Source organism: Homo sapiens, chromosome 2 (genome assembly GCF_000001405.40).
Source record: "Homo sapiens chromosome 2, GRCh38.p14 Primary Assembly".
Lineage (NCBI taxonomy): Eukaryota > Metazoa > Chordata > Mammalia > Primates > Hominidae > Homo > Homo sapiens.
Window position 1 is genome coordinate 1,103,621 of NC_000002.12, and position 18,008 is coordinate 1,121,628.

The following is an 18,008-nucleotide window of genomic DNA, read 5'->3' on the forward strand; positions in this document are numbered from 1 at the left end:
CTCATGATCCTCCCCCTTTGGCCTCCCAAAGTACTGGGATTACGGGCGTGAGCCACCGCGCCTGGCCATGATTATAAATTTCTACCAATGATCCATTTGATGATTTTAAACTTCATAGACACCAGACAAAGCCTCCGTGCATGCTGTGATTGCAGGCGCACACTCATTGAATCGGTTGTTAGGTTAACAAACGTTATAGACCCCTGAGTGCTAAGCACTGTCCTCTGTGCTGAGAGTAGAGAAGCAAAAAATAGACTGATTTCTTGCTTTCAGAGCATGTACATTATAGTCGGAGAAGATAATAAGCAAAGATACAAATGAAATTATTATGTCAGGTATGGATAAGACTAGGGAGAAAAATATAGCTACATTTTTGCTAATACTTTCAGGCATTCTATGACCTTTAACTACCCTATGAGATGATGACTAGGATTTTCATTCCCATTTTACAGATGAGGACACTGAGGCAAATATATGTTAAAGAGTTTGCACAGGGACAGACATGCAAATGGCAGAGCCGGGGAGTGACCCCCAAGACCCTTCTCTGGGTCATCGTCCGGTGCTGCCCCTCTTTCAAACGTTTGTAAAGAACCAGTGCAATGTGGTTACGACGTTTTTTCATTTATTCTTTACTTTTACACATTTCTTCGGTTATTGCTCTATGTTGGTGTTGCCTAGGGTTAATAACTTCCTAGTGTAGTAATAGTGAAATTATTAAACCTGAAAAGGAAAAAGCAGTGTCTTTTCAGACGAGCTGAGTGACAGGGTCTGTTCTTTGATGCATGGGTTATTGATTAGTGATACGAGATTTGATTAATTCTCTCAAGATAATTTAAAAATAAACACTTTGTATCAAGCTTTCTTTTTATAGTTGAACTTCTTTTGTTAAGTCAATAGACTTCTAATGTGCACATGTTTACCTAAGTTTTAGGTTTCTGCATGTATGTACCTCAGGGAAAACACAAATGGAGAAAGGAAAAACTCACTTGTCAGCGTGGCCCAAGCCCTGCCGTGGGTCCTTTTGTCAGCGTGTGTGGCCCTGGGGTGCTGGCATTGTGAAAACCTGGGGACTCCGTCCAGGAGGGGCCGTGTGTGCTGTGAAATCCTCTCAGCTTACGGTGGTTTGAGTGAATAGGGCTTGCTCTTCTCACTGAACGAGAAATCCGGCTGTTTGCTGTGGTTTTCTCCCAGTATCTTTCCGTCCTCCCGTGGCACCATCCTTAGCTTGTGGGTTTTATCCTCATGTTCATTGCCTTATATTTGCAAAATGGTGGCTGTATTTCAAGATAACATATCTTCTTTTTAGGTAGGAAAGAAGGGAAATGGGGCACCACCCCTGAAGAAGCACCGTGGTTCCATCTCCGGGAAGGAAAGCCTTCATGGTATTCCTTCATTTCCATCCACCCACTGGAACCGGACCCAAGTTCACCCTCAGAAAGGCTGAGGGAGCAAGTTCTTCATGAGTTGTTGGACAGCCTTTTGCCACTCCCTTAGGGGAATGCAGGGGTTCCATTCGCTGAGAGCAACACACTCTGCCCTCTGCTGAACCATGGGAGCAGGCCAGGCTCTGCCACAAGGCTGAGAGGGTTTGGTGGGGGTGGGGTGAGTGTGGGGTGGCCCCACTTGCATTTTGTCATTGCCAGCTGTGCCATGCAGAGGGTCTTGGCTGGGGTTTGTTTCTGTCCATGGTTTCAGGCATCTGCTGCAGGGCTTACAACTTAGATAAGGGTGGTTGCCATATGATGTTCTGCATGAGGTCCACCTTAGGTGCTTAGACATTTAAATTCTTAGATATGGTGTCCTTCACACTTTAATTCACCGCTTTAGTGAGGTGTGTGCACCCGCCAAGGCTCACACGTCAGGAACCACACACGTACGTGCTCCTTAAGGCAGCCTTCAGCCTACTTAGCAACCGCTCTCCAAAAAATCTGTTTTAATACCTAAAATCACCATGGGCGATTGGATTTGACACCGTTCTATACATAGATTTTATGAGGATTGGATTTCTCTGAGCATGGTTCAGTACTGAGGATACCAAGCTCCTGCTCACTCTCCCTCCTATGAGATTCTTCCTCAGGACCCTGCTGCCCCTGGCCCAGAAATCATCCACGACTTCATTGCTTACGGAAAAGCCGAGGTGCAGGCTGGGCTTTCCAGCTCACCTCACATCCTGGGTCCCACAGCCACATTTGTCTCCTCCCTGCTCCGATGCATGGCACAGGATGGCACCCCAAGTCTCCACCCTCACCTGGAAGATCAGCCTCCCCCGCGTGTCACAGCCAGGTCAGGATGCACACCTGGTGGCCCCTGACCCCGAGGCCTCTCACCTTGCTCCTTGGTAATAGTGGGCGCACACTGTCATTGGGGTGCAGGGTATGGAGAGCTCCTTGGTAATAATGGACACGTGCTGTCACTCGGGTGCAGGGTATGGAGAGCTCCTTGGTAATAGTGGACACCTGCTGTCACTCGGGTGCAGGGTATGGAGAGCTCCTTGGTAATAGTGGACACCTGCTGTCACTCGGGTGCAGGGTATGGAGAGCTCCTTGGTAATAGTGGACACATGCTGTCACTCGGGTTCAGGGTATGGAGAGCTCCTTGGTAATAGTGGATGCGTGCTGTCACTCGGGTGCAGGGTATGGAGAGCTCCTTGGTAATAGTGGATGTGTGCTGTCACTCGGGTGCAGGGTATGGAGAGCTCCTTGATAATAATGGACACGTGCTGTCACTCGGTGCAGGGTATGGAGAGCTCCTTGGTAATAGTGGATGCGTGCTGTCACTCGGGTGCAGGGTGTGGAGAGCTCCTTGATAATAATGGACACGTGCTGTCACTCGGGTGCAGGGTATGGAGAGCTCCTTGGTAAGAGTGGACACGTGCTGTCACTCGGGTGCAGGGTATGGAGAGCTCCTTGGTAAGAGTGGACACGTGCTGTCACTCGGGTGCAGGGTGTGGAGAGCTCCTTGGTAACAGTGGACACGTGCTGTCACTTGGGTGCAGGGTATGGAGAGCTCCTTGGTAATAGTGGACACACGCTGTCACTCGGGTGCAGGGTATGGAGAGCTCCTTGGTAATAGTGGATGCGTGCTGTCACTCGGGTGCAGGGTGTGGAGAGCTCCTTGATAATAATGGACACGTGCTGTCACTCGGGTGCAGGGTATGGAGAGCTCCTTGGTAAGAGTGGACACGTGCTGTCACTCGGGTGCAGGGTATGGAGAGCTCCTTGGTAAGAGTGGTCACGTGCTGTCACTCGGGTGCAGGGTATGGAGAGCTGCTTGGTAATAGTGGACACGTGCTGTCACTCGGGTGCAGGGTATGGAGAGCTGCTTGGTAATAGTGGACACGTGCTGTCACTCGGGTGCAGGGTATGGAGAGCTCCTTGGTAAGAGTGGACACGTGCTGTCACTCGGGTGCAGGGTATGGAGAGCTGCTTGGTAATAGTGGACACGTGCTGTCACTCGGGTGCAGGGTATGGAGAGCTCCTTGGTAAGAGTGGACACGTGCTGTCACTCGGGTGCAGGGTATGGAGAGCTCCTTGATAATAATGGACACGTGCTGTCACTCGGGTGCAGGGTATGGAGAGCTCCTTGGTAAGAGTGGACACGTGCTGTCACTCGGGTGCAGGGTATGGAGAGCTCCTTGGTAATAGTGGACACGTGCTGTCACTCGGGTGCAGGGTATGGAGAGCTCCTTGGTAAGAGTGGACACGTGCTGTCACTCGGGTGCAGGGTATGGAGAGCTGCTTGGTAATAGTGGACACGTGCTGTCACTCGGGTGCAGGGTATGGAGAGCTCCTTGGTAATAGTGGACACGTGCTGTCACTCGGGTGCAGGGTATGGAGAGCTCCTTGGTAAGAGTGGTCACGTGCTGTCACTCGGGTGCAGGGTATGGAGAGCTGCTTGGTAATAGTGGACACGTGCTGTCACTCGGGTGCAGGGTATGGAGAGCTGCTTGGTAATAGTGGACACGTGCTGTCACTCGGGTGCAGGGTATGGAGAGCTCCTTGGTAAGAGTGGACACGTGCTGTCACTCGGGTGCAGGGTATGGAGAGCTGCTTGGTAATAGTGGACACGTGCTGTCACTCGGGTGCAGGGTATGGAGAGCTCCTTGGTAAGAGTGGACACGTGCTGTCACTCGGGTGCAGGGTATGGAGAGCTCCTTGGTAATAGTGGACACGTGCTGTCACTCGGGTGCAGGGTATGGAGAGCTCCTTGGTAAGAGTGGACACGTGCTGTCACTCGGGTGCAGGGTATGGAGAGCTGCTTGGTAATAGTGGACACGTGCTGTCACTCGGGTGCAGGGTATGGAGAGCTCCTTGGTAAGAGTGGACACGTGCTGTCACTCGGGTGCAGGGTATGGAGAGCTCCTTGGTAATAGTGGACACGTGCTGTCACTCGGGTGCAGGGTATGGAGAGCTCCTTGGTAAGAGTGGACACGTGCTGTCACTCGGGTGCAGGGTATGGAGAGCTCCTTGGTAATAGTGGACACGTGCTGTCACTCGGGTGCAGGGTATGGAGAGCTCCTTGGTAAGAGTGGACACGTGCTGTCACTCGGGTGCAGGGTATGGAGAGCTGCTTGGTAATAGTGGACACGTGCTGTCACTCGGGTGCAGGGTATGGAGAGCTCCTTGGTAAGAGTGGACACGTGCTGTCACTCGGGTGCAGGGTATGGAGAGCTCCTTGGTAATAGTGGACACGTGCTGTCACTCGGGTGCAGGGTATGGAGAGCTCCTTGGTAAGAGTGGACACGTGCTGTCACTCGGGTGCAGGGTATGGAGAGCTGCTTGGTAATAGTGGACACGTGCTGTCACTCGGGTGCAGGGTATGGAGAGCTCCTTGGTAAGAGTGGACACGTGCTGTCACTCGGGTGCAGGGTATGGAGAGCTGCTTGGTAATAGTGGACACGTGCTGTCACTCGGGTGCAGGGTATGGAGAGCTCCTTGGTAAGAGTGGACACGTGCTGTCACTCGGGTGCAGGGTATGGAGAGCTGCTTGGTAATAGTGGACACGTGCTGTCACTCGGGTGCAGGGTATGGAGAGCTCCTTGGTAAGAGTGGACACGTGCTGTCACTCGGGTGCAGGGTATGGAGAGCTCCTTGGTAATAGTGGACACGTGCTGTCACTCGGGTGCAGGGTATGGAGAGCTCCTTGGTAAGAGTGGACACGTGCTGTCACTCGGGTGCAGGGTATGGAGAGCTGCTTGGTAATAGTGGACACGTGCTGTCACTCGGGTGCAGGGTATGGAGAGCTCCTTGGTAAGAGTGGACACGTGCTGTCACTCGGGTGCAGGGTATGGAGAGCTCCTTGGTAAGAGTGGACACGTGCTGTCACTCGGGTGCAGGGTATGGAGAGCTCCTTGGTAAGAGTGGACACATGCTGTCACTCGGGTGCAGGGTATGGAGAGCTGCTTGGTAATAGTGGACACGTGCTGTCACTCGGGTGCAGGGTATGGAGAGCTCCTTGGTAATAGTGGACGCACGCTGTCACTGGGGCGCAGGGTATGGAGAGCTGGATGCACAGCTTCATCATGACATGTCATACTTTCGGAAAGCAAAAGCGGCTTGCGAAGTCCCCTAAGCCCCTTTTATTCCCCCTAACAGTGGTTTGCTCTCGGTGATCACCCAGTTCATACTTAATGAAATGAGGAAGAATGAAGCTCTCCTCTATGACTGGATGGAATTTACATGTGGTGTTTCCAACACAGCAAAACTTTCGAAACCGAAGCCAGGCTCCATATAACACACAGAGAAAGGATGATGAAAACCACATGCTGAAAAAGGATGTGGAAGTCAGAGGGTGCCATCTGCATAGGAATTCCTGACATTGATACTTGTCATACGAAAATAACTTCCTTTTTCATTGGATCTTCATAAAAAACATATGAAATGGGCAAGGGACGCATGATTATTCACATTTCATAGGGCAGCAGATAAACAGGAATTATGAGTTGCCCAGTTTTACTCCGCTAACAAGGGCTTATAAAGAGTCCTTTACTTGTACACTTAGATTTTTCCCTCGAAATCCAGTTCTTCCTACTATAGCATATCATCTCATTAGGTACAAAGAAAATTCATTCACAGCCACAGTTTAATTCCACTTAAATAAATTAATGGTAATAAATAATTTAATAAATAATAATGCTTCGTAAGAATTTATCTGTAAGATAGGCCTGGGCCCTGTAGCTAATTTGATGTGTATATTCGGGAGACAAATGGGACAATTAGAAAATACTCAGAAAATTGCACAGAAAGGAAGGGGTGTTTTGTCCCCGAAAGAAAGGCAAGACGAACGCGAACCTTCAGTCGTTCTCATGTGGAGTATTCATCGTTCAGCGCCAGGAAGTATCCTGAGCTGAAGGGCGGGTTCTTACAGAGGCCATCTGAGCTACAGTGGGAATGTCAGGTTGGACACGAGGCTCACTGTTACTCATGAAGATGTTGACACAGAACGACGATTTCTATAACCAAATATATATACTACATTTGGTGGGGAAGGAAAGGGAACACAAAACCCAGGTCCCAAAGCTCCCTGTTCAGGTCTCTGTGGCACAGCGGCTGTGGCGGAGTTTTGTCTGGATCCTGTCGTCGTCTAAAGTCATGGCCTGGACACCTGTAAACACAGGAAGAATCACCCTTTTCATACCAAAGTCACAGAGACTTATGAGCTTTGTGTGATGGGGTCACCATGACATGGGCCTCCACCTGTATTTTATTGTTCTCTAGAATTTTCACCTGTTATTGGTGTCTTAGTGCCATGCACATGCCTTCATTATGCCAGATCTGTGATTAATTTCTTTCTGTGTTAAATTTATTTCACCTGTTCTGCTGAATTTGCTGTGAAGCCTTTCTCCCCTAATACCTTCTCCTCTGCCTCCCTCCCTCCCATGTAAATATTGATTTAGATGTCTTTATATTAATGTAAGGTCCTGCCCTTCACATGGCATAGAGAAACCCGTGATGAATGCCCCCATTGTCCCTCAGAAAGCAGAGACTTGAGCAGCTGAGATGCCTCTTCCCAGAGCTGGAATCCTTCACAGCACTGCCTCTCTGGCATCCGCTCCTCACACCGCTGGGCCTTTGCCTTTGCCATTCATCATGTCTGCTGTGCTGCCATATCTTCCTTTCTAGGCTCTAAAAAATGGCTTTTGAAATTCAAAATGTGATACAACTACTCAGGCCAATGTGCCTGCACTAATATATAAGTCAGATACTATCTGGTTTTTCTTCTGGAGCTCTATAAATATTTGATAGAGTCCTTCTATTTTAGACGGTTGAACCTGGATCTGGCTACATGTGTGCAGAAACACAATGTCAGAAATCTTTTCTCACCTGGCGGTGGGTGGATGTGGAATTCAATTTGTAACTTTTAGGTCTAACTTTCCTAACTGTGCTTTCTGTCACAAGCCAAAATCTGCTTTTTGTCTCAAGTTAGCTTTCCGTAAGAATGAAGGGAGTCCCATTTTCCAATCCCCAGATCTAGACAGAGGTACAGCAGATTGAATGAAGAATATTCTGGTGTTACTGCTTTATTGCTAATGAATCAATGAAAGGCATGGTTTTAAAGCTATCAAAGTATAAATAGAACTTGACAAGGATAATATAAAATGGACTTAGTAGCTGAATGAGAAATGCCGAAACCTCAAAAAGAATCACAAGAAACATCAGAAGCCCTGAAGTGTGCGTGCTGTGCACTGCAGGTCAAATTTAAATTCTGAGTAACAAGAGGCTTCCTCCTCAGGAGAAGCTGGAAGCAGGAAGGGGAGTCAGCGTACGGCCGGGCCCCTCTTACCTTTGCAGGGTCCCTGCTGTTGAGATTAGGACCGCAGGTGTGCAGCAGAGAATCCAGTTGTTTTGCTTTAGAAAGTGCCTGAAGAACAAATCCTTCGGGCCCCAAAGATGCTGTCCTGGGATCTACTTTGCCATTGCTCCTCAAGTTCAGCCAGTGTTATGGCAGGTGTCAGCATCCACCAAAGGGGACCTTCCTGTAAGATGAAAAATACTTTTTAATTTAAATATACATAACACTTCAAAATGTCCAGTGTCCTTCAAATTACTTCAAGAATTTAGATTTCCCTGTTATCAATGATAAATAATCTCCCAAGGCCACTTAGAGAGACTCCCTGAGAAGAATCGTGTGTTCTAAGTGAGGTTTAACCCTTACAGTCCTTTGAGAAAGATCGTGTGTACTAAGTGAGGTTTAACCCTTACAGTCCTTTGAGAAGAATCGTGTGTACTAAGTGAGGTTTAACCCTTATACTCCTTTGAGGAGGATCGTGTGTACTAAGTGAGGTTTAACCCTTAGAGTCCTTTGAGGAGGATCGTGTGTACTAAGTGAGGTTTAACCCTTACAGTCCTTTGAGGAGGATCGTGGGTACTAAGTGAGGTTTAACCCTTACAGTCCTTTGAGAAGGATCGTGTGTACTAAGTGAGGTTTTACCCTTACAGTCCTTTGAGGAGGATCGTGTGTACTAAGTGAGGTTAAACCCTTACAGTACTTTGAGGATAATCATGTATACTAAGTGAGGTTTAAGCCTTACACTGCTTTGAGAAGGATCGTGTGTACTAAGGGAGGTTTAACCCTTACAGTCCTTTGAGGAGGATCGTGTGTACTAAGTGAGGTTTAACCCTTGCAGTCGTTTGAGAAGGATCGTGAGTACTAAGTGAGGTTTAACCCTTACAGTCCTTTGAGGAGGATCCTGTGTACTAAGTGAGGTTTAACCCTTATACTCCTTTGAGAAGAATCGTGTGTACTAACTGAGGTTTAATCCTCACAGTACTTGGAGGAGGATCATGTATACTAAGTGAGGTTTAACACTTACAGTTCATTGAGGAGGATTTTGTGTACTAAGTGAGGTTTAAACCTCACAGTCCTTTGTGAAGGATCGTGTGTACTAAGTGAGGTGTAACCCTTACAGTCCTTTCAGAAAGATCGTGTGTACTAAGTGAGGTGTAACCCTTACAGTCCTTTGAGAAAGATCGTGTGTACTAAGTGAGGTTTTACCCTTACAGTCCTTTGAGGAGAATCATGTGTACTAAGTGAGGGTTAACCCTTACAGTCCTTTGAGGAGAATCATGTGTACTAAGTGAGGGTTAACCCTTACAGTCCTTTGAGGAGGATCGTGTGTACTAAGTGAGGTTTAACCCTTACAGTCCTTTGAGGAGGATCGTGTGTACTAAGTGAGGTTTAACCCTTGCAGTCGTTTGAGAAGGATAGTGAGTACTAAGTGAGGTTTAACCCTTATACTCCTTTGAGAAGAATCGTGTGTACTAACTGAGGTTTAACCCTCACAGTACTTGGAGGAGGATCATGTATACTAAGTGAGGTTTAATACTTACATTTCATTGAGGAGGATTTTGTGTACTAAGTGAGGTTAAACCTTGCAGTCCTTTGTGAAGGATCATGTGTACTAAGTGAGGTGTAACCCTTACAGTCCTTTGAGAAAGATGGTGTGTACTAAGTGAGGTTTAACCCTTACAGTCCTTTGAGAAGGATCGTGTGTACTAAGTGAGGTTTAACCCTTACAGTCCTTTGAGGAGGATCGTGGGTACTAAGTGAGGTTTAACCCTTACAGTCCTTTGAGAAGGATCGTGTGTACTGAGGATTAACCTTTACAGTCCTTTCAGAAGGATGGTGTGTACTAAGTGAGGTTTAACCCTTACAGTCCTTTGAGAAGGATCGTGTGTACTAAGTGAGGTTTAACCCTTACAGTCCTTTGAGAAGGATCGTGTGTATTAAGTGAGGTTTAACCCTTACAGTGTTTTGAAAAGGATCGTGTGTACTAAGGTTTAACCACTATAGTCCTTTTATGAGAACCATGTGTACTAAGTGAGGTTTAACCCATACAGTCCTTTGAGAAGGGTCGTGTGTACTAACTGAGGTTTAACCCTTACAGTCCTTTGACGAGGATTGTGTGTACTGAGGTTTAACCCTTACAGTCCTTTGAGGAGGATCGTGTGTACTAAGTGAGGTTTAACCCTTACAGTACTTTGAGGAGGATCGTGTGTACTAAGTGAGGTTTAACCCTTACAGTCCTTTGAGGAGGATCATGTGTACTAAGTGAGGTTTAACCCTTACAGTCCTTTGAGGAGGATCATGGGTACTGAGGATTAACCCTTATAGTCCTTTGAGAAGAATGGTGTGTACTAAGTGAAATTTAACACTTACAGTCCTGTGAGGAGAATCGTGTGTACTAAGTGAGGTTTAACCCTTACAGTCCTTTGAGAAGGATCGTGTGTACTAAGTGAGGATTAACCCTTACAGTCCTTTCAGAGGGATGGTGTGTACTAAGTGAGGTTTAACCCTTACAGTCCTTTGAGGAGGATCGTGTTTCCTAAGTGAAGTTTAACCCTTACAGTCCTTTGAGGAGGGTGGTGTGTACTAAGTGAGGTTTAACTCTTACAGTCCTTTGAGGAGGATCGTGTGTACTAAGTGAGGTTTAACCCTTACAGTCCTTTGAGGAGAATCATGTGTACTAAGTGAGGGTTAACCCTTACAGTCCTTTGAGGAGGATCGTGTGTACTAAGTGAGGTTTAACCCTTACGGTCCTTTGAGGAGGATCGTGTGTAACTAAGTGAGGTTTAACCCTTACGGTCCTTTGAGGAGGATCTTGTGTACTAAGTGAGGTTTAACCCTTACAGTCCTTTGAGGAGGATCGTGTGTACTAAGTGAGGTTTAAACCTTACAGTCCTTTGAGAAGGATCGTGTGTACTAACTGAGGTTCAACACTTACAGTCCTTTGAGGAGGATCCTGTGTGCTAAGTGAGGTTTAAACCTTACACTCCTTTGAGGAGAATCATGTGTACTAAGTGAGGTTTAACCCTTACAGTCCTTTAAGGAGGATCTTTTGAACTAAGTGAGGTTTAACCCTTACAGTCCTTTGAGGAGAATCATGTGTACTAAGTGAGGTTTCACCCTTACAGTCCTTTGAGAAGGATCTTCTCTACTAAGTGAGGTTTAACCCTTAGAGTCCTTTGAGGAGGATCGTGTGTAGTAAGTGAGGTTTAACCCTTACAGTCCTTTGAGAAGGATCTTCTGTACTAAGTGAGGTTTAACCCTTACAGTCCTTTGAGAAGGATCGTGTGTACTCATGTTTAACCCCTATAGTCCTTTGAGGAGAATTGTGTGTACTAAGTGAAGTTTAACCCTTATACTCCTTTGAGAAGGATCGTGTGTACTAAGGGAAGTTTAACCCTTATAGTCCTTTGAGGAGGATTGTGTGTACTAAGTAAGGTTTAACCCTTATAGTCCTTTGAGAAAAATGGTGTGTACTAAGTGTGGTTTAACCCTTACAGTCCTTTGAGGAGGGTCTTGTGTACTACGTGAGGTTTAACCCTTACAGTCCTTTGAGAAGGATCGTGTGTATTAAGTGAGGTTTAATCCTTACAGTCCTTTGAGGAGGATCGTGTGTACTAAGTGAGGTTTAACGCTTACAGTCCTTTGAGAAGGATCGTGTGTACTAAGTGGGGTTTAACCCTTACAGTCCTTTGAGGAGGATCTTGTGTACTAAATCAGGTTTAACCCTTACAGTCGTTTGAGGAGGATCGTGTGTGCCAAGTGAGGTTTAACCCTTACAGTCCTTTGAGAAGGATCGTGTGTACTAATGTTTAACCCCTATAGTTCTTTGAGGAGAATTTCGTGTACTGAGGTTTAACCCTTACAGTCCTTTGAGGAGGATCGTGTGTACTAAGTGAGTTTTAACCCTTACAGTCCTTGGAGGAGGATCATGTGTAGTAAGTGAGGTTTAACCCTTACAGTCCTTTGAGAAGGATTGTGTGTACTAAGGTTTAACCCCTATAGTCCTTTTAGGAGAATTGTGTTTACTAAGTGAGGTTTTACCCTTACAGTCCTTTGAGGAGGATCGTGTGTACTAAGTGAGGTTTAACCCTTACAGTCCTTTGAGGAGGATCATGTGTACTAAGTGAGGTTTAATCCTTACAGTCCTTTGAGAAGAATCTTGTGTACTAAGTGAGGTTTGTCCCTTACTGTCCTTTGAGAAGAATCGTATGTACTAAGTGAGGTTTAACCCTTACAGTCCTTTGAGGAGGATCGTGTGTACTAAGTGAGGTTTAACATTTACAGTCCTTTGAGAAGGATCGTGTGTACTAAGTGATGTTTAAGCCTCAGAGTCCTTTGAGAAGGATCGTGTGTACTAAGTGATGTTTAACCCTTACAGTCCTTTGAGGAGGATAAGAAGAGTCTCCCTTGTGCAGGGACAGTCACTGAAGTTTGGGGAAGTCTAGGAATTTTAAAAGAACAGGATTTTGGAAATGAATTCAGGTCAATGTTCAAGCCCCATTCTGCCCTTTTGAGTGGCCCCGAGATGGCCCAGGGCCTGCCCTCCAGGACCTTGGCGGAGGTGGGGGCCAACGGGTTCCTCTTCTAACAGACTGTGGTGGAAACAGTATCAGTTTCCTTATGACCAACACACTAGTGAGGGAATATCATGATAAATTTATGACTGAAACACCTTACGTTTGTGCAGTTCACGTACACAATGGGGATGTAATCGTAGGTGGTTGGATGTGGCGTCTTCAGAGCTTAGGGTGCTTGTGAGTTAAGGGAGCTTGGTGGTCACGGGTTTTAGGGCTTTCTTTCTGAGAAGCAGAGCTATCGATTGCTACCTAATTGAAAAGATTGTGTGAGTCTGTAATGTTTTTCTCTTATTCACTAGAACACTTTATCAGCCTGACAACATTGGAAAGGAAACAGAAGCTGCCAGGGAAGCAGGTGTGAAAACAGCTCCAGTTACTCAGGCAAGGCTGTGGCTGCTCACCCGTGGCCCTGGCTCACGCAAAACTCTCCAGAATTAGGGGTGCTCTTGCATGGGGGTGCTCTGGTGTGTGGGTGCTCTGGTGTGTGGGTGCTTCGGTGTATGGGTGCCCTGGTGTGTGTGTGGTCTGGTGTGTGGGTGCTCCAGTGTATGAGTGCCCTGGTGTGTGGGTGCTCTGGTATGTGGGTGCCCTGGTGTACGGGTGCCCCGGTGTTCGGGTGCCCTGGTGTGTGGGTGCTCTGGTGTGTGGGTGCTCCAGTGTATGAGTGCCCTGGTGTGTGGGTGCTCTGGCATGGGGGTGCTCTGGTGTGTGGGTGCTCTGGTGTATGGGTGCCCTGGTGTGTGCGTGCCCTGGTGTATGGGTGCCGTGGTGTGTCAGTGCCCTGGTGTGTGGGTGCTCTGGTGTGTGGGTGCCCTGGTTTACGGGTTTCCTGGTCTGTGGGTGCCCTGGTGTATGGGTGCCCTGGTGTGTGGGTGCTCTGGTGTACGGGTGCCCTGGTGTACGGGTGCCCTAGTGTGTGGGTGCTCTGGTGTGTGGGTGCCCTGGCGTGTGGGTGCCCTGGCGTGTGGGTGCCTGGCGTGTGGGTGCTCTGGCATGTGGGTGCTCTGGTGTACGAGTGCCCTGGTGTGTGGGTGCTCTGGTGTGTGAGTGCCCTGGTGTGTGGGTGCTCTGGTGTGTGGGTGCCCCAATATGTGGGTGCCCCGGTGTACAGGTGCCCCGGTGTACGGGTGCTCTTGTGTGTAGGTGCTCTGGTGCGTGGGTGCTTTGCTGTATGGATGCTGTGATGTGCAGGTTTATTTTCCAAAAGTTAGGTAAGAACATCACTCAAGATGATTGAGTCTTTTTCTAATTCCAAAGGCACTTTAAGGTTTCAGAGAGCCTTGGATTGTTTAATAGAGAAGACATGGCAGAACATAAACCATAGAAGGTGTCTGAGATGACTGTAATTTTAAACAAGTTCCTAATATTAATACACTGCAAAATATCATTTAATTTTAATAGAAACAACTTTTACTATTATCTTTCCTTTTTTTCTTTCTCGTTGAAATGAAGACTTAACATCAAATTCAGCAAAACAGATGAAATCAATTAAAATATAACATGGCGTGCAGGGCAGGCACGGCCTCCTGCCCCTGGGGAGCTGGAGCCCTCACGGAGTCCTGTGTGTGGCTGTGCTTTCTGGGGCTGAGCAGATGAGGTAGCTCAGTTCCCCAGGAATCAGAACCGAGGCGGAGCTGTGCCACCCCAGCCTCCAGGGTGAACAGCAACAGCTCCCTGAAACTGGACGAGCTCCCCAGAGTTCAAGCTACAGAGGTTCCTGCCTCCCCAGGGCATGGAGTCCTCACTGCACTGCTCCCCACCTTGTGGGCCCCAGGCTGCGCTGGCATCTTGCCATTCCCGGGTCTTTGCTGCTGCTGCACTGGCCTCACAGGGCCTGGGCCACTGCCATGTCCTGCCATCCCTGAGTCACTAGTGTGTGGCACCTCATCTCCTGGGCTCTAGTTGCTGCTGTGCCCTGTTGGTTTTGGGTCCAGGATTGCAGCTGTGCCCTGTATCCCAAGAGCTGAGCTTCTGAAGAACCCCTTATCTCCCAGGGCCATGACAGTGCTATGTCCAGCCCCCCAGGGTCAGAACCAGAGCTAAAACCTGGCCCCCCAGGTCTGAACTGCCAGAGTCTGCCTCAGAACAACAGACCCCAGCTTTGTGGACAATCTGAAGCCACCTGAGCCCCAGAGAGTGAATCTGCACCTTGAGCACCGGATGCCACAAGGGCTTCACGTCACCCCAGGGCCCTGGTTCCACAGCTGCCCTGTGCACCTGTGCCCTGGATCTCAGTGCCACTGCAGCTGCTTGTGGGCCGTGTCAGACCCTGCGCTGAGAAAGATCCCCTCAGCTGAGACTCCCCTCTACAGAGAAGTCAAAAGTAGTAGGATACATGAAGCCCTTGCCACCAAGGACCCTAGACTTATGCTGCCACCATCATTGTCCTGAATTCCTGCAGCCTATGCCACTTAGACACCCACAGTCATTCCTGACATTCATTACAACTGAAGAACCTGCACAGAGACTATACCCCTGCACCCTGTCCAACCAGCACCCTCAGGCCCATCTGTATGTGAAAATCTTCCCCTACAAAAGGCACTACTTAAAAATTAGAAGAGATAAGAATCAGATAGCATAAAAAGGAACCAGACAGAAATCTCAAAGCTGAATAACTCAATGAAATCATAAAAAAATTCAGTAGAGGACTTCAATAGCAGACCTAGATTAAGCAGCAGAAAAAAAAAATCTGTGAACTTGAAGAGAGGTCTTTTGGAATGACTCATTTGGGGAGGTGAATAGAAAACGGAATAAAAATAGTGAAGAAAGCCTGTGGCACTCACAGGAAGCAATCAGATGAAGAAAGTTCTGTATTATGGGACTGAGAAGGAGCAAAAACAGAAAAAAAGGACAGAAAGGTTATTTAATAAAATAATTACTGAAAACTTGGAAGTTTTCAGTCTTGGGAGAGATATGGGCATTCAATTTCATGAAGCTCAAAGATCACCAAACATATTCAACCCAAAGAGGTCTTCATCAAGGATCGTTTTAATCAAAGTGTCAAAAGTCAAAGGCAAAAAAAGGATAATTTTAAATGAAGCAAAAGTGTCAAGTTGCATATAAAGGAATCTCCATTAGTCTATCAGTGGATTTCTCAGCAGAAAACTTGAAAGCCAGGAAAGAATAGTATGATACCTACAGGGAAAACAAACAAACACAAAAACCATTAGCTAAGAATTCTGTGCTCAGCAAAGCTGCCCTTCAGAAATGGAGAAAGTAAGTCTTTCCTAGATAAAAAAAAGAAAAAAGCTGATGGATTTCATAATCACTATGCTTGCTGTATCTGAAATGCTTAAAGGAGTACTTCAAGCAGCTAGAAAAGTGTAATCACTATCACAAATACACTTGAAGGTACCAAACTCACGGGTAGAAGGAAGTACGTAGTCAAATTCAGCATAGTCCAGTGTCATCATGGTGGTGTGTAACCCATACATGTCTCCAGTATGAAGGTAAAAAGTCAAAACAGTAAAACTAAGGCCATAATAACTTTTTAAGGTATACACAATGTCAAAAGATGCAAATCGTGACATCAAGAACATAAACTGTGGAGGAGAAGTTAAAGGCTCGTTTTTTTTTTTTTTGTATAAAAAAATGTAAGTTGTCTGCAGCTTAAAATAGTAGACTATAAGATATTTTACATAAGCTTCATAATATCCACAAAACAACAACAGCAACAAAATGATAGCAGACATACAAAGGGTGAAAATAAAGGAATCAAAGCTGAGCACCACAGAAAATTATCACGTTACAAAGGCAGACGAGAGTGGAGGAAAGGGACAGAGGATCTGCAAACAACAAAAAAAATAAGAGAATGGCATTGCTCATTTCTTATCTGTCAATAATCACCTTGAATATTACAAATAAGAAAATAAGAGAATGACTGGTCATTCCTTTTCTATCAATAATCACTTTGAATATTACAAATAAGAAAATAAGAAAATGTCATTGGTCATTCTTTATCTATCAATGATCACCTTGAATATTACAAACAACAAGAAAATGAGAAAATGGCATTGATAATTCCTTCTCTATCAATAAACACCTTGACTATTACAACAAGAAAATAAGAAAATGGCATTGATCGTTCCTTATCTACCAATAATCACCTTGAATATTACAACAAGAAAATGAGAAAATGGTATTGATCATTCTTTCTCTATCAGTAATTACCTTGGATATTCCAAACAAGAAAATAAGAAAATGGCATTTGTCATTCTTTATCAATAATCGCCTTGAATATTACAAAACAACAAGAGAAGAAAATGGTATTGGTTATTACTTATCTATCAATAATTACTTTGAATATTACAAACAAGAAAATAAGAGAATTGCATTGGTCATTCCTTATCTATCAATCACCTTGAATATTACCAACAACAAGAAAATGAGAGAATTACATTGGTCATTCCTTATCTATCAATAATCACCTGGAATATAAATTGATTACATTCTCCCATCAAAAGACATATAGTGGTGAAGTAGACTGAAAAAGAGATGATCCCAACTATATACTGGCTATAAGAGACCCGCTTTATCTTTAAGGACACACACATATTAAAAGTGAAGATAGGGAAACAATATTCCATGCAAATGGTAGCCAAAAGAGAGAAGGGGTAGTTAAACTTAACATCTGATAAAACAGACTTTAAATCAAACTGGTCACAAGAGACAAAGAAGGCCTTTATCTAGTGAAAAGGGGATAATTTATCAGGAGGACATAACAATCATAAACATATATGCATCCGACATTGGAGTACTTAAATACATAAAGCAAATATTAATGAACATAAAGAGATAAATACATAGCAATACAACAGTAATAGGGGACTTCAGCACCCCACTTTCAACAATAGATAGTTCAACTAGACAGAAAATCAATAAGAAAATACAGGACTTGAATTGCACTTTGGGCCAAAAAGACTTATCAGATATATAAAGAACTTTCCATGCAATAGCAGCAAAATACACATTTTTCTATAGCACACATGGAACACACACATGGATAGACCATATATTAGGCCATAAAACAAGTCTTAACAAATTTTGTATTGCAATTCTATCTAGTATCATCTCTGACCACATGGAAGGAAACTAAAAATCAGTAACAGGAGGAATCTTGGAAAATTCATAAATAGGTAGAAATTAAACAGTATTGCCCTGAACAATCAATGGGTCACAGAAGGAATCAAAAGTGAAATTTGAAAACTATCTATCTTGAGACAAACAACAACAGAAATACAACCTACCAGAACTTCTGGGATGCCGCAAAAACAGTTGTGAGAAGGAAATTGATAGTGATAAATACCTACATTAAAACAAAGATCCTAAATAGCCTAACATTAAGCCTCAAGAAATGAGATAAAGAACAACAAAGTAAACCAAAAGTTTACAGAAGGAAGGAAAGAGGATGAGAACAGAAATAAGTCAAACAGACAATAGTAAACAATAAAAAGAATTAGTAAAACTAAGAATTGTTTTTAAAAAAAAATAAAATTGGCAAACTCTTCATCTGTATTAGTCCGTTCTCACGCTGCTATAAAGAACTGTCTGAGACTGGGTAATTTATATGAAGGAAAGTGTTTGACTCACAGTTCCGCATGGCTGGGGAGGCGTCAGAAGACTTACAATCATAGTAGAAGGTAA

General features: G+C 45.4%; 1 protein-coding gene across 16 annotated transcripts in view, besides 1 other annotated feature; it reads left to right on the plus strand.

The window, feature by feature from the left end:
• SNTG2 (syntrophin gamma 2) overlaps window positions 1-18,008 on the plus strand; it is a 416,765-nt gene that overhangs the window by 152,772 nt on the left and 245,985 nt on the right. The window contains exon 1 of one of the 16 annotated variants that reach the window (XM_017004364.2): window positions 1-18,008. This exon is cut by the window's right edge and continues 10,082 nt beyond it. The exons of the other annotated variants lie outside the window; for them this stretch is intronic. The gene's annotated coding sequence lies outside the window, so the exon portion shown is untranslated. 16 annotated transcript variants of the gene reach the window in all.
• Window positions 4,799-5,998: an enhancer, noted in NCBI's record as "CDK7 strongly-dependent group 2 enhancer chr2:1104105-1105304 (GRCh37/hg19 assembly coordinates)". NCBI's record gives its function as "activates an origin of replication core promoter dependent on BRD2, BRD4, P300/CBP, MED14 and CDK7 cofactors, with strong dependence on CDK7, by STARR-seq in HCT116 cells {active_cell/tissue: HCT116}" and the evidence as "EXISTENCE:reporter gene assay evidence [ECO:0000049][PMID:35650434]".